This window comes from Homo sapiens, chromosome 11 (genome assembly GCF_000001405.40).
Source record: "Homo sapiens chromosome 11, GRCh38.p14 Primary Assembly".
Taxonomy (NCBI): domain Eukaryota; kingdom Metazoa; phylum Chordata; class Mammalia; order Primates; family Hominidae; genus Homo; species Homo sapiens.
Window position 1 is genome coordinate 46324985 of NC_000011.10, and position 15594 is coordinate 46340578.

At 53.8% G+C, this 15594-nt stretch overlaps 1 protein-coding gene across 1 annotated transcript in view, besides 5 other annotated features; it reads left to right on the forward strand.

Moving 5' to 3' along the window:
* Positions 6090-6231: a silencer, noted in NCBI's record as "fragment chr11:46352624-46352765 (GRCh37/hg19 assembly coordinates)". NCBI's record gives its function as "represses an EF-1alpha promoter that drives an FKBP-Casp9 reporter gene in an ReSE screen in K562 erythroleukemia cells {active_cell/tissue: K562}" and the evidence as "EXISTENCE:reporter gene assay evidence [ECO:0000049][PMID:32094911]".
* Positions 7368-7417: an enhancer, noted in NCBI's record as "active region_4676". NCBI's record gives its function as "activates an Ori minimal core promoter by ATAC-STARR-seq in GM12878 lymphoblastoid cells {active_cell/tissue: GM12878}" and the evidence as "EXISTENCE:reporter gene assay evidence [ECO:0000049][PMID:35858748]".
* The window catches only part of DGKZ (diacylglycerol kinase zeta), a 47629-nt gene continuing 39976 nt past the window's right edge, over positions 7942-15594 (forward strand). Inside the window, exon 1 of the mRNA NM_201532.3 lies at positions 7942-8503. Within this exon, the coding sequence (NP_963290.1) occupies positions 8292-8503 (212 nt within the window). The 5' untranslated portion in view covers positions 7942-8291. The remainder of the gene's footprint in view (positions 8504-15594) is intronic.
* Positions 8318-8367: a silencer, noted in NCBI's record as "silent region_3302". NCBI's record gives its function as "represses an Ori minimal core promoter by ATAC-STARR-seq in GM12878 lymphoblastoid cells {active_cell/tissue: GM12878}" and the evidence as "EXISTENCE:reporter gene assay evidence [ECO:0000049][PMID:35858748]".
* Positions 11235-11964: an enhancer, noted in NCBI's record as "H3K27ac-H3K4me1 hESC enhancer chr11:46357769-46358498 (GRCh37/hg19 assembly coordinates)". NCBI's record gives its function as "activates a minimal SCP1, AML or CMV promoter by ChIP-STARR-seq in primed H9 embryonic stem cells {active_cell/tissue: H9 hESC(primed)}" and the evidence as "EXISTENCE:reporter gene assay evidence [ECO:0000049][PMID:30033119]".
* Positions 14155-14884: an enhancer, noted in NCBI's record as "OCT4-NANOG-H3K27ac-H3K4me1 hESC enhancer chr11:46360689-46361418 (GRCh37/hg19 assembly coordinates)". NCBI's record gives its function as "activates a minimal SCP1, AML or CMV promoter by ChIP-STARR-seq in primed H9 embryonic stem cells {active_cell/tissue: H9 hESC(primed)}" and the evidence as "EXISTENCE:reporter gene assay evidence [ECO:0000049][PMID:30033119]".

Sequence of the window (15594 nt, forward strand, 5' to 3'; positions counted from 1 at the left end):
CTCCACGCCCCTTCCCCTCAAAGCTTCGGCTTGACCACCTCCAGTGACAGTGACAGAGACCTCACTGCCTGCTGCTGGGCATCAGTTTTAACTGCTGGAAAGCGTAGGCCTTTAGAGCAAGGCCATTAAAGCCTGGGCTCTGGATCCCACGCTGTTATTATTATTATTTTGAGACAGAGTCTCACTCTGGTGCCCAGGCTAGAGTGCAGTGGTGCAATCATGGCTCATTGCAGCCTCCACCTCCCATATTCAGCGATTCTCCTGCCTCAGCCTCCAGAGTAGCTGGGATTACAGGTGTGCACCACCACATCTGGCTAATTTTTGTATTTTTATTAGAGATGGGGTTTCACCATGTTGGCCAGGCTGGTCTCAAACTCCTGGCCTCAAGTGGTCCACCTGCCTCGGCCTCCCAAAGTGCTGGGATTACAGGTGCGAACTACTGCACCTGGACTCAATGTTATTATTATTAATGATAACTTTTTTTTTTTTTGAGACAGGATCTCACTCTGTCGCCCAGGCTGGAATGCTGTGGCATGATTACGGCTCATTCCAACCTCCACTTCCCAGTCTGAAGCCATCCTCCCACCTTAGCTTCCTGAGTAGCTGGGACTGCAGGCATGTACCATCATTACCTCAAAGGCCCCAGGCCGGTGGTGGAAGTTGGGGAATAAACCAGCCATGGGGATGTTGTGATGGAGGGGTGTACAGGATATTAAGGGACACAGAGTATCATGTAATTCAGATGGAGGGGGAGGTGAGGGAAGGCAGCCGGGAGGAGGGTGACCCTTGAACCGAGGCTTCAAGGATGGGAGGAGTTGGTAAGACAGAGAAGGGGTAAGAGCATTTGGAGTGGAGAGAATGGCAAATGCAAAGGCATGGAGCCATGAAAAGCAAGACTAGGGTGGTGCAAGCGGGCTTTGATACACACATGTGATGGCTTCTGCCGCACCAGTCATCCTGCTCGGATTGCCACAACAAACCCTTTGTTATATCTGGAAACCAGGGTGCAGAATACAAGGAGGCACCTGGACAGACCTGAGAAAGGGCACCTCCTGGCCGAGCATAGTGGCTCACACCTGTAATCCCACCACTTTGGGAGGCCAAGGCGGGCGGATCACTTGAGGTCAGGAGTTCGAGACCAGCCTGGCCAACATGGTGAATCCCCATGTCTACTAAAAATACAAAAAAACTAGCCAAGCGTGGTGGCACACACCTGTAATCTCAGCTACTCAGGAGGCTGAGGCAGGAGAATCACTTGAACCCAGGAGGTAGAGGTTGCAGTGAGCTGAGATCGGACCACTGCACTCCAGCCTGGGTGACAGAGAGAGACTCCGTCAAGAAAGAAAAGAAAAGAAAGGGAAAGAAAGGGAAAGGAAGGAAGGGAGGAAGGGAGGGAGGGAGGGAGGGAGGGAGGGAGGGAGGAAGGCAGGCAGGCAGGCAGGCAGGCAGGCAGGCAAGCTCCTTAAACGTCACACCTTAGGTGCCAGCTTGTTTACCCTCATCCTGGCCCTGAGGAAAACCATGGCCCTTCCAGAGATCTAAAGAAAGAACACCTTATCCTGAAGGGGTGGGAGCCACCGCATCCTTTCAAGCCAGAGAGTGAAAGAATCAGACGTCCCTGCCCTGAGTCTCTGCAGAATGGAGAAGATGAGATGATTCCAGACAGAATTAGAAGGAATCATCAACAAGCTCTGACATCAAATTGGCCGTGAGGTCTGGAGGAAGGGTGGGGCCTGAAATGACCCACTTGGAGGTCCTGAGTGGGTGATGAGGCTGTTGACCATGACAGGGATTCAGGAGGAAGAGCAGGTTTGGAGAGAAAGATTAGAACTCATTTTAGCACATCTGGCATTTGAGTTGCCTGTAGAACATTCACATTAACATGTAATTATAGGGCTTGGGAGAAAAAGATCCCAGCCAGAGATGAGGAAATTGTCAGCGCCCAGGTGGTAGGTGAAAGCCTTGGGTCTGCATAAAGGGATGTGAGATAAGGGCAGGACTCCAGGGAAGAAGACATTAAGAGTGGAGGGAAGAGGAGTGAACCAGAGGGCAGAGAAGGGATGGTCGGAGAGGAAAGAAAACCAGGAGAGATGAGTGCCCAGAAACTGACCAGGAGAGCACTTCCCGGGGCGATGGTCAGGGGTGTCCTCGCTCCTGGAGTGGAGGCTGAAGCAGGAAGCTCACGTGAGCCCAGGAGGCTGAGGCTGCGGCAAGCTGTGATTGCACCACTGCACTCCAGGCTGGGCAATAGAGCAAGACCCAGTCTCTAAAAAAGAACTTTTTTAAAAATGTGGTTTGGGCCAGGCGTGGTGGCGCATGCCAGTAATCCCAGCACTTTGGGAGGCTGAGGTGGGCGGATCATGAGGTCAGGAGTTCAAGACCAGCCTGACCAACATAGTGAAACCCTCTCTCTACTAAAAATACAAAAAAAAAAAAAAAAAATTAGCCAGGCTTGGTGGCGCATGCCTGTAATTCCAACTACTCAGGAAGCTGAGGCAGGAGAATCGCTTGAACCCGGAAGGTAGAGGTTGAAGTGAGCCAAGATCACGCCACTGCACTCCAGCCTGGGCAACAGAGCGAGACTCTGTCTCAAAAAATAAAATAAAATAAAAAATATGGTTTGGAGCAGTTTTTCAGATGGGAGATCATTGACCATGGTTATTTCTAGAACACAGAGCCAACAGAGGGAAAACCCAGAGGGCCACAGAGAGGATGGTAGATGCGGGGGGTGGGAATGGGATCCAGGGGCAGGTGGATAGGTCCACCTTTGGACAGAGAGGACTAGACAAAAAGGGAGAGCATTCTGTGGGTGCAGAATGTGAGGAGACAGGAAACTGAAGGAGTACTCCAATAACTGAGGTGTGGGAGAGGGGCAGTGTGGAGGGTTGGCATGGGCGTGGAAGGGGGAGAAAAGGGACAGTTTGAAATAGTCACTCAGAAGAAGGAAAGACAAAGCTGACATTTAGTGTGACCTCTCATCATTCATTTATTCATTTAGCAAGTATTCACGGGTGTCCCTTATGGGCAGGGCACCATGCCAAGAATGGAGCTCAAACAAAACACAGCTCCTAAAGGAAAGGGCTGGAAATCTAGGCCGGGCACGGTGGTTCACGCCTGTAATCCCAGCACTTCGGAAGGCCAAGTCAGGCAGATCACCTGAGGTCAGGAGTTCGAGGCCAGCTGGCCAACATGGTGAAACCCCATCTCTACTAAAAATGCAAAAATTGGCTGGGCACGGTGACTCACGCCTGTAATCCCAGCACTTTGGGAGGCCAAGGCAGGCGGATCATGAGGTCAAGAGATTGAGACCATCCTGGCCAACATGGTGAAACCCTGTTTCTACTAAAAATACAAAAATTAGCTGGGTGTGGTGGCGCGCACCTGTAGTCCCAGCTACTTAGGAGGCTGAGGCAGGAGAATCGCTTGAACCTGGGAGGCAGAGGTTGCAGAGAGCCAAGATCATGCCTGTACTCCAGCCTGGTAACAGAGCGAGACTCTGTCTCAAAAACAAAACACAAAAATTAGCCGGGAGTGGTGGCATGTTACTGTAATGCCAGCTACTTGGGAGGCTAAGGCAGGAGAATCGCTTGAACCTCGGAGATGGAGGTTGCAGTGAGCCGATATCGCACCACTGCACTCCAACCTGGGAGACATAGGAAGACTTTGTCTCAAAAAAAAAGAAAGAAAGAAAGAAAAAAACAAAAGAAAAAATTAAAAAAAAAAAGAACTGACAGCCAGGTGCAGTAGCTCATGCCTGTAATCTCAGGGCTTTGGGAGGCTGAGGCAGGTGGATCACCTGAGGTCCGGAGTTTGAGATCAGCCTGGCAAACATGGTGAAACCCCATCTCTACTAAAAATATAAAAATTAGCTGGGCATGGTGGCGGGCGCCTGTAATCCCAGCTACTTGGGAGGCTGAGGCAGGAGAACTGCTTGAACCTGGGAGTCAGAGGTTGCAGTGAGCCAAGATCGCACCACTACACTCCAGCCTGGGCAACAAGAGTGAAACTCCAACTCAAAAAAAAAAAAGAAAAAAAAGAAAGAAAGAAAGAAAGAAAGAAAGAAAGAAAGAAAGAACGAACTGAAAATATTCCATCTCCCTTTTTTTTTTTTTTTTTTGAGACAGAGTCTTGCTCTGTCACCCAGGCTGGAGTGCAGTGGTGCAATCTCGGCTCACCACGATCTTGGTCTTCCAGGTTCAAACAATTCTCCTGCCTCAGCCTCCCAGGTAGCTGGGATTACACGTGCCTGCCATCAAGCCCAGTTAATTTTTTTTTTTTTTTTTGGATTTTTTAGTAGAGACGGGGTTTCACCGTGTTGGCCAGGCTGGTTTGAAACTCCCGACCTCAAGTGATCTGCCTACCTCGGCCTCCCAAAGTGCTGGGATTACAGGTGTGAGCCACCGCACCAGGGCTGCATCTCCCATTTTTGACCAGTTACCCTGTGCCAGGCATTGGACTGAGGATCTGAATATCCCAATTAGGAATTTAAGTGATCTTCAGGGGTGGATATTTTTACAGATGAAGAAAGTGAGGTTCAGAGAGGTGACTGACTTGGTGAAGTTCATGCAGCTGGAAAATGTCAAGGCTGGCATCTGAACATAGGTTTGTTTGGCTTCAGAGTTCATGCTGCCCCTCAACCCCTCTCCCCAGTCCCACTTCCCATGTCCTCTAGGCCTCCCTGCCTCCGCCAGCTTCATATTACTGCACAAGATCTAAGAACATTGGAGCTTCCTGAAGTAACTAAGCCAGCGAGCCCATGGTTGCTGAGCTGGTCAAAATGCGGTCATCTGTGATCACTACCCTCTGCCCATTCATCCAAAGCCATCTTACCGGCCTGTGTTGAGAAGCGAGGCGAGGTTAGTCCCCATGAATAAGCCACCTGTTAACATGCCACCTCCTCAGTGCCATGTGTCATCGTCCCAAGGGGGCCCAACCCCAGTGTGTCCCCAGCAATGGAGCTGCAGTCCCCACGCTCTATTGTCAGCCCTTGGCAGCCTGCTTTGCCACGCACATATGATGGCTTTTGCGGTGGCAGTCATCCTGCTCAAATTGCCACAACAAACACTTTGTTATACCTAAACCAAAGCTCTGGAAAAAGGGAGAGTAGCTGTGGGCAATGCCTGGAGCTGGTATGGGCAGAGGCAAGGTCCCAATCCCAGGCAAAGTTCTGATCTCGGAGAGGTTGGATGACCTCAGGAGCCATTTGGCCAAACTGGGCACATATCTGATGTCAGTAACAGGTACCCCTGGGGTCTTTCCAGGGAGTGACGTAGGCAGGCTGGGAACTCAGCTCCAAAGCAGCATGAGATACTTTGTGGGCTCTGATACCTGTGCTACACTAAGTATGATGTTGGCAAATCACTTAATCTCTCGAAGCCACAGTATCCTTATCTGTTAAATGGTGCTCACCCTCTTAAAGATGCTAGGAGGGGTAAATGAAAGCTTGCACATAAAGCTCTTAGCACACTGGTCAGTTATGCAGTAAATTCTCAAAAGACATTAGCAATTATTTTCTGAGCACAGAGATAATGAATGGGCTGGAGACGGAGATGTTCAGAGGAGCGAGCTGCAGCTGGGAGAGGCTGCAGAAGGTGGTCGGGCTGGTCTGGGGAGGGAGTCTCATTTTCTCCTTCCTCTGTGTGAAAAGCACAGACCACAGCTAAACGATAATGCAGTCAGCAGCTGGTCCTAAGGGGGAGGGGAGCTGTGAGGACAGAGGAAAGAAGCCTCACTTTAAAAAGGATTGAGTGGGGAGAACGCGGCAGGAAAGAGCTCAACAAAAAACCAACCTGGAAACCCAGCAGCTAGGCAGCTGGCGAGGGAATGTCAAACCCAGCCAGAACTACCATAATTCACAGTGTAGGAGGTTCCCCTGGCCCAGGCCGCTTGGAAATAGGAGCCAAGACTCCTGAAAGAGCAAACCCAAGGGCAGCTGACCCCCTTGTAGGGGGTCGGGGACAAGTGCCCCACCCTACCCACTCCAGCAGCAAGACTTCTTTAGAACTTGGCTCTCGGGAGGAAGCTCCCCTGTGACCAAGAAGTTGAATGCAATTCCACTCATCCGACAGGGAAGTACTAGACAGAGACAGAGATGGGAGGTGGAACTGAAGCAAGCTATTCCCTGCCCTTTGGGAAGCTTCCAGATTAGAGCGAAGAGGGCAAACTGCAGGAGGCTGCTACTCTGTGGCTGGCAGCATGATGAAGTGGAAAAGGGCGTGAGTTCTGAGGCCAGAAGCCCTGAATTTAAATCCTGGCCCCACCACTCACTGCCTGAGCCATCTTGAGCAAATAAATCACTTGAATGATATCTCCGTGTCCTCCTCCATAAGACGGAGGAAGTGATAATATCTGCCACCCAGGGTTGTGGCGAGGATCAAATGAGATGTTAGTTATTGTTCAAGGGTAAAGGGGAGGCCCAGGAAATCGTTATGGGGCTGAAGGAGGGAGACTGTATCTGTACTGGAGTATTGGGGAGGGGTTCATGGGGGAGGTGGCACTTGACATGGGCCTTGAAGGGCACTTAACACCTCTTCCATAGGCAGGACAGGGAAGGGGACATACTCCAGGCAATGGGAACAGTCTGAGCAAAGGCACAGGGCAGGGCAGCTATGACACAGCTGTCTCCCTTTGTAGCCCATTCTCTACCTCTGTGAGTCTGGTCCCTCCCACCTTCCCACACTCATAGTCACAACTTCAGTGAAAAGAAAGACACAGACTAGATTAGACATCTGAGGCAGAGGGCCATGGGGTCTGGGAGGAAAGAGAGTGTTGTTCAGCTGGAGCCATCCAAGGAGACTTCCTGGAAGAGGAGGCTTTTAAGCAAAGCCTCAGAATTTGAAGTACATCAATAGGAGATATCAGATGGAGGGGACAATAGGAGATATCAGATGGAGGGGACTGTACAGTCCTGATGCAAGTTCCCAGAATAAGGAGCATAAATGAGTGGGAGAAAACGGAAGAGCCTGGGCTGCAGGATGGGGGAAGATCAAGGCAGGCCTTGAGTGCAGGCTAAAGTATAGGCATGAGGAAGCTAGGAAATACCACGGGAGAAGAGTAGATGCTATGGCCAGAAAGATGAGTCTGGGGCCGTGAAGAGGAGGTGTTCCATCAGAGAAGTTCACCAGGGCCCCACTGTAATCCAGATGGAGGGTTCACCTGAGGAACACTGCAAGGACAAGAGGAGGTGACCCAAGGAGGAACCATGGGATTTGGAGGGAAAGAAGAAGGGGGAGTCCAAGATGGACCTCAAGGAGAACTCCAGTCTTTCCTTTTGGAGTTGGCTTCTCCCCTATCTCATCAGCCTCTCCTGACCCAGCAGGCCGATTAAATCTAAGAGACCCTGGCCCTGAAGCCTCAGTAATTCAGGTCCTAGGAGGCCTCCCTGCCTTGAGGAGACACCACCCCCATCTGGGGCCCTCTCTAGGCACGATCCAGAAGAGCTCTAGGCCTGAAGGTAGTGTTACCCGCCATCGGGTCCATCCCCAAATTCAAGGTATCCCTGGGTATGTTCCCTCTCCTGTGCCCCTTCCCCAAACCCAGTGGGTCTCTAAATTCCAGCGGCGCCGACGGGGTTAATGTTGGCTCATGTCACCGCCTCTGCACGCCCCCGCTCCAAACCTGCCAGCTGCAGCGGCGAATGCCGAAGCCCGAAAGCGAGGGACCAGGCAGCCGTGGGGGTGGAGGGGACACATCGCAGTAGCTGAGTGACAGGCGGCGGGGTGATGATTGGCAGCTGCCGAGCTGCCTGGACTAGGACCCGGGCGGGGGCGCAGAGGTGGTCGCAGGAGGCGCCCCACACCCCGGGCCTTGCGCCCTGAGCTAGGTTCGTGCCCGTGGTGGGCTGGGCCGGGCTCGCTCCCTTCGTGCCCTGAGCGGGCGGGCTGGGCGGAGCGGCGCCCTCCCCTCCGGACCCCACCGGCTGGAGAGTGTCTCTAAGGTGACACTCGGGTGCGCGGCAGCAGCGGCGGTTGCAGGAGCTCGCTCTCCGCCCGGGCTCCGGCTCCGCTCCAGCCGTCCGGGGGGCGCCGCGGCGCGCAGAGCGCAGCACCCCGACTCCAGCCAGGAGCCCCCGCCCCCCCGGAGCGCAGGAGGACCCCGGCCCGCCTCTCCCAGGCGCAGCGCCCAGCATCTCGCTGCTCCTGTCGTCTAAGCGTCGGCGTCGCTAGGGACCTGCGGAACCCGGCGCTCCCCTCCCTCCCCGCCTCGCGTCCCCGGCCCGGGCGGACTGGAGACTCGAACTTGAGCGGGTGCCCGAAAGGCCGCAGGAGCCGCGGGCGGAAGGCGGCCGCACGATGGCCGAGGGGCAGGGCGGCGGAGGGCAGCGCTGGGACTGGGCTGGCGGCGGCCGGGCAGCCGAGGAGGAGGTGGTGCGGCGGCGATGCCGGCGCGGGGAGGAGGCCCAGGTCGCGCAGCCCTGGCCCGAGGGTTCCCGGGGCACGGCCGCTGGGCCCCCGGTGGAGGAGCGTTTCCGCCAGCTGCACCTACGAAAGCAGGTGTCTTACAGGTAAGGAGGACGTGGGCAGAGGGGAGCGCGGCGCTTGGGACCACCCCTCTTGCAGGCGTCATTGCACAAACGTTTATTGTGCGCCCGCCGCCTGCCTGGCGCTGGGAGTTTAGAGATGACTGCCGAGGGATCTCTGTCTTTTCGTGTACAGCGGGAAGGAGGCAGCTTCTGAGACTCCTTCTCTGCCTGAACCGTGAAAGCCGTATTCATCCAATATGCAGTGGCTGAGGGAACAGTGTACCAGGCGCTAAGGAGAGGAAAGAGCCATGACATTGTTCTTACAAACCTCTATCTGCTGGGGAGAGCCAGGAGATGCCCCCTGGCCCTTCTGGGGGAAAGAGGAACCCCCTCTTCATTCAACAGGTCTACCCTGAGCTTTCCCGTGGGCTGAGTCTGTGCCAGGCACAGGCTTGTGGAAATGACTGAGAGGCTCCCTGCCACCACTGTGGAGACCCTGCTGCCCAGAGATGGGGAACAGAATTCCCTCCTGAACCCCCATGCCCCAGCAGGCCCTGGCTGGCAACCTCCAGGGGCAGAGGGAACCTCCCCACCCCCACCCAACATCTTCTTAATTCAACTGTCTTCTGTCAGTGTCAGAGTCTCTTGGCCTGCCACCTCTGCCCAGAGGGTCCTGGAGGAGCCAGCTGGAGTGGGCCCCAGAGGTCATTTTGGTGACCTGGGGTAGGACGTTAATGAGGGAGGACAGCCCTTCAGAACAAGGGTGGGAAAGTTACACAGAGGTTGGAGCTGGGACAGCCCAGTACACACCTTACCTTCCTCTTCCTCTCCCAAACCACAGCCTCAACTTGGACTTGCTGTCCCTCTCAAGCCCTTGGCCCAGAGTGACCTCCCCTGGAGAGTCTAGCAGGGCCACTAGGGCAGCTGCGGTCCTTACAGCCATCGGCCTGGTTGGAGAGGACAAGTTCCCTGTCCACTTACAACCATGGGGTGTTTGGGATATGTCTGAGGCTGCCCTGGTTCTCCCAGTGGCTTCTGGGAAGACGTTTCATAAAACTTGCCCAGCCCTGGGAGCTTGAAAGGCCTCAGTATTCTTAATGGCTCTGGGGCCATCAGGGCTCCATCACTTGGGGGAGGAAGGGACAGAAGGGGAGGGGATTTTCCAAGAAGCAAGATGCTCAGAGCAAATGGGAAGCAGGCCAGGTTCCCATGGGCCCTACCTCCACCTTCTAGGGTATACTAGAAATCGTGGGTACACCGGGCTCCATTACCAAGTTCTTCCAGAACACCACGCCCAGGGGAGTGCATCATCCATCCCATGCCTCTGGCTGTAGGTATGAATGTCCCCCTGGGGCAGGAGGAAGTGCAGAGGGACTCACAGGGGATGCAGCAAAGAATGGAGACTCCTGGGATAAATGTCAGCCTGGGAGTCAGAAGACCTGGTTTCTACTCTCAATTCTGCCAGAGACTTGTGTGTCCTTGAGCTGGACAATATCTCTCCCTGGGCGTCAGTTCTTTACTTTTAACATAAGGGGATGACCCCGAGTTTTGCCTTAGCTGTGGGTCAGAGACAAATCACAAATGGAGGCTGGGCGCGGTGACTCACACCTGTAATTCCAGCACTTTGGGAGGCCGAGGCAGGAGGATCACTTGAGGTCACAAGTTCAAGACCAGCCTGGCCAACATGGTGAAACCCTGTCTCTACTAAATATACAAAAATTAACCAGGTGTGGTGGCAGGCACCTGTAATCCCAGCTACTCGGAAGCCTGAGACAGGAGAATCACTTGAACCTGGGAGGCAGAGGTTGCAGTGAGCAGAGATGGCGCCACTGTACTCTAGCCTGGCGACAGAGGGTGACTCCATCAAAAAAAAAAAAAAATCACAAATGGAGGCCAGAGTGGAGTGGAGACTTAGAGGGCAGAGAGCAAAGAATAATTGAATAATTAAAGGGCTGAGATAGAAAATGTTGCACACGTGCACGCACACACACACACACACACACACACACGCACACAGCGGCAAGGGCTGGGATTCCCCTGGGTGGCCCCAGAAGGGAGGCCCCTCCACAGCCCAAACAACTTGGGGCCTGTAATCACCAAGGATGCCAGGTAATCCCACTGAGGTCCCCCCAACCCCTGCCTCCAGGTTACCTGTGTGAGGGCGGCAGAAAACAACACCAGGGTGGACTCTGCTGTCACCCTTGGACAGATGAGAAGGATAGGGCATCTCCTCACTCCCTGGGGTTAGTCTAGGAACCCAGTCTCAGTCTCAGAGCCGAACAAGGCATCAAGGCAAGGAGAGCCCCTGGTAGAGGACAGACAGACAAGCCCTGGGAAAGAGCCAGCAGCTCTTCCAGGCCCAGGGGACCCCAGGGGAACAAACTGTGCTCTCCAACTAAGCCCTCTCTTGTGGCTGCTGTCCTGGGTGGCCTGTGGCCTCCTGGCAGGGGGACTGGGGGACCGGGGGCTGGCAGGAGCTCAGGCCCATGGTGGCCCTTTTCACATCCTCCACATGCCACAGTTCCGTGCAGCTCTGGCTGGCAGCTAAACCTCCTACCCTGCTGTGCGGAGTTGCTAAGAAAAGCAGTTGAAAGCCCTTTCCAGAGCGAAAAGGCTTTTAGACAGAAATGTGGGGGCAAAAAAATCTGAGGGCGAGGAGTGGAAGCGGAAGCGGGCTGAAGGCCTGGCTGCTTCTGACGTAAGTGAGGACGGGGGCTTTGGCAGGACACTAGAAGCTTAGAGGGGTGTGGGGCTTTCTCAGAAATAGGTTTCCTTCGCCTCCCAGTGCCAGCATGGGCTGGAAGCAACCCTGGCAGCTTCTTTAGGTGGATGGAGAGATGGCGGGTGTGTGCCAGCAGAAACTCAGACACCTGGAAAGGCAGGGGAGGGGGGAAGGGCAAGAAGGCAGGAAAGAAGGCAAGGGAAGAACTTCAATGGGGTATGTCCTTGTTTGGTTTAAATGGGTCCTGGTTTCCAATAAGTCATAAAAGGGCAGGGCAGGTCTAGGCATGGTGACTCATGCCTGTAATCCCAGCATTTCTGGAGGCCAAGGCAGGAGGATCACTTGAGCCCAGGGATTTGGGACCAGCCTGAGTGACACAGTGAGACCCTGTCTCTACAGCAAAAAAATTTTTTGTTTTTGTTTTTGAGATAGGGTCTCACTGTGTGTGTCACCCAGGCTGGAGTGCACTATCATGATCATGGCTCACTGCAGCCTTGACTCAGGTGATCCTCCCACCTCAGCCTCCTCAGCACACACTACCATGCCTGGATAATTTTTGGTATTTTTTGTAGGGATGGGGTTTCGCCGTGTTGCCAGGCTGGTCTCGAACTCCTGGGCTCAAGCGATCGCCCATCTTGGCCTCCCAAAGTGCTGGGGTCACAAGCATGACCCACTGCTCCTGGCCTCTACAGATTTTGTTAAAATTAGCTGGGCGTGGTTGCATGCGTCTGTAGTCCCAGCTACTCAGAATGTTGAGGTGGGAGGATTGCTTAAGCACAAGAATTCGAGGCTGCGGTGAGCCACAATTGCGCCACTGCACTCGAGGCTGGGAGATAGAGTGAGATCCTGTCTCTAAAAAAAGTGGGGGGCAAGGCAGTAGTGCCTGAGATCTTGCATCTCCATCTGGGGGAAAGGAAAAGTCACTCTCAGCGTAAATGATCAGGGTTGGGCTCAAGAGACCATGGGAGAGCAGGCTCCAGCTAGGTAAAGCCAGAGTGGGGCAAGGGATGCAGGGCTTGGTCTAAAAAGATCAGTTCAAAGATGCAGGATTTGCAATTCCAGAGTTAAACTCAGTGGCTTCCAAACTGGATCACCTGGGGGTCTCTTTTTAAATGGGTTCTTTTTTTTTTTTTTTTTTTTTTTTTTGAGACAGAGTCTCACTCTGTCGCCCAGGCTGAAGTGCAATGGCGTGATCTTGGTTCACTGCAACTGCCACCTCCCGGGTTCAAGCAATTCTCCTGCCTCAGCCTGCCAAGTAGCTGGGACTACAGGCGCCCACCACCACGCCGGGCTAATTTTTGTATTTTTAGTAGAGACGGGGTTTCGCCATGTTGGCCAGGCTGTTCTCAAACTCCTGACCTCAGGTGATCCATCCACCTCGGCCTCCCAAAGTTCTGGGATTACAGGCATAAGCCACCGCGCCCAGCCTTAAAATGGATTCTAAAGCCCTCTCCCTAGAGGTCTTGCTACAGGTGTATAGGGTTGGGCCTGGACGCCTCCATGCTAAAAACCTCTCCCAGGTAATTTTGACAGTGGAGCAGGTTTGGAAACCACTGGTTTTGCCTGTGAAGAAGCCGAAGGAAAAAGAGAAAAGGGCAGGGCAGGAAACAAACAAACAAAAAAAAAAATGGAGGGAGGGGGTGTCCAATGTGAGATGACTCACTGGGATGTGGCTGGCGGAGGGCTTCCCTGTGCTGAGTTCTGTTTTGGCCCCAGAAGGGCCTCTAGGAAGAACCAGTGCCTGTACCTGGTGTCCTGGGTGTGGGCCAAGCATTACCTGAGATGGAAATATGGGAAACAGTCCCTTCCCTTAACAAAAGTGTGACCCCCATACAGGGTGAGACAGTAAATACTTTAGGCTTTGCAGGGCACTCGACTCTGCCATTGTGGTGCAAAAGCAGTCATAGACAACGTGTAAGTGAAGAAGCGCCAGGGTTCTGCTAAAACTTTATTCATAGACACTGAACTTAACATTTCATAGAATTTCAGCAACGCAATACCATTCTTTTGCTTTTTCCCACTCATTTAAAAACTTAAAAAGCATTCTTGCCGGGCGTGGTGGCTCACGCCTGTAATCTCCGCACTTTGGGAGGCTGAGGCAGGTGGATCACCTAGCTCAGGAGTTCGAGGCCAGCCTGGCCAACGTGGTTAAATCCCACCTCTACTAAAAATACAAAAATTAGCCAGGCGTGATGGTGGGTGCCTGTTACCCAAGATACTCGGGAGGCTGAGGCAGGAGAATCGCTTGAACCCGGTAGGCAAAGGTTGCAGTAAGCCAACATCGCGCCACTGCACTCCAGCCTGGGCAACAGAGCAAAACTCCATCTCAAAAAAAAAAAAAAAAAAAAAAAAAAAAGCACTCTTAGCTCCTGGGCCCTACAAAAACAAGCAGCAGGCTGGATGTGGCCCCGATCCAGTAGATGGGACAGGACAAGCTCATGGGAAACAAGAACTGAGGCATCGGAATGAACCTGAGCATGGTGGCGGGGGGCTCCGTGGCACATGCATCCCACCAAGAGAGGTCATGCAATGCCCGTGCATCCTTCTGGGTCAGAGAGACCTGGGCTCCAATTCCAGCCCTGCCCCTTCCTAGTTGGGTAAGAGGCTTTCACTTCTGACCCTGTTTCCTCACACGGAAAATGCGAGCGATGATACCTTATCAAGAATGTGGCTGGGAAGATTCAAGAAGATACCAGATGTCAACTTCCTGACTCAGAGCACGGGTAAAACAAGTTAGAGCTTTTGTCCTGTGTAGCTGGACCCCTCCGTGGGTTCCAGAGGCCCTGTAAGGTGTGGAGATGGAGGCTGGCCCCGAGCCACAGATGGTGGTGGGACCCAGGGGTGGTAAAGTTTAACAGAGACTAAAAGCAAGGCTGAGCATGCGCGCATGTCCCAGCCTACGGTCCTCCCCCTTCTCCACCCCTGCAGAGGGGCTGGGGGCAGGGACTGGGCACCAACTGGCAGATGAGGATGCCCCCTGCCGTGGGCACGCTGCTGCGGGTCCACGACTCCTCAAGGGAGGGGCACCTGATCCAACTCTCCCTGCGGCTATTTACCAGAAGCTAAAAATAACCCAAGAGTGACAGGGAGATGGGGCCGATTTGTAATTTAAATAGCAACAGGATAAAGCAAGGAGCTGCCAGAGATCACATTCTGTCCTGAATTAACAATGCAAAACCAGGGGCAGAGAGCTGAGCTGAGCAGGGGGAGGGGACCACGGCCAGAGGAAGCCTGGGGTCCATCAATTTTCTTTCCTTTGAAAAGGGCGGGGCCCAGGCCCAGCCCGGAACTCCTTCCCTCCCCTCAGGGACCTGCAGTTCTTGCTGATCAGTGAGTCAAAGGCCAGAGAGGGCAGTGCCACACTGTCCCAGAGGCCAACGTGCAGGGATCGGGATCCCAGGAGAGGGTCTTATCTGACCTCATTTTGGCACAAGGAGCTTGGGACGTGCCCCCAGCAGCCCATGTCCCCCAGTCCCCGCACCAAGGGGCACAGCCACTTGGGCATTTTGGAGGGAACCTGGGAAGGCCAGTTTGATCAATGGCATTTGAAGAACTTATTTGGTGGCCTGCTGAGATGGTGGCCTGTGGGCCAAGCATGGGGAAGCCTGGAGTGGAGTCTCATTTTTGCCTCAGTTGGTGCCTTTCAGAGTTTTCAGAAAGGCCCCTCCAAGGTCCAGGGTGCCAGGGACAAGGGTTAGTACCAACTGGAGAAAACCTCTCTTCAATGACATACAAAGAGGGTGGGGAAGGAACTGGGACTGGACTCTAGGCTTCTGCAGGGCTCCAGTGTGACTGACAAGGGCTCTCGGCCTATAGATGCCTGGAAAAGGCTAATCAGAGATTGCAGAGTAGGCAGTGCTTTGGAGGCCACTGGGCCGCAGCTTACAAATGAGGAGCTAAGGTTGGCAGAAGTTAAGCAATGTGTTGAGATCACAGAGCCAGTAACTGGTGGAGCCAGGATCCAGACTGAGATCTGTTTCTCTCCAAAGCCCTTTTTACTCTGTCAGGCTTGCAAAGGCCTAGACTTTCATCCTTGAGGATCTTGCTTTTGGCTCTGTACAAAGTGTACATATCTCTGGGTGTGGTAATAGGATAGGTAGTAAGGGGGCTGAAAGGTAGCTATGCAATCAGGGCTTATGACCCTACAGATGTGAGTGGGAGGCTTGGAAGGCAGGAGACACACTGACCGTGTCGTGGGGGCTTGGTGTAGTCCAGGGTGGGGACAGATGGAAACTTTTGAGCAGATGCAGCTGACCCAGACTAAGGGGAGAGCTGTGCAGGCTCCTCTCTCACCTCCAATCCAGGAAATTGGGAGGTGCCAAAGGACAGCTTTCAAGAGACATGGTGGTTTGAAGGACCACCTTTGGCTGCTGGGCCGCCAGTGCTGTGCCTGCAGCTCTCTTGCCTCAGC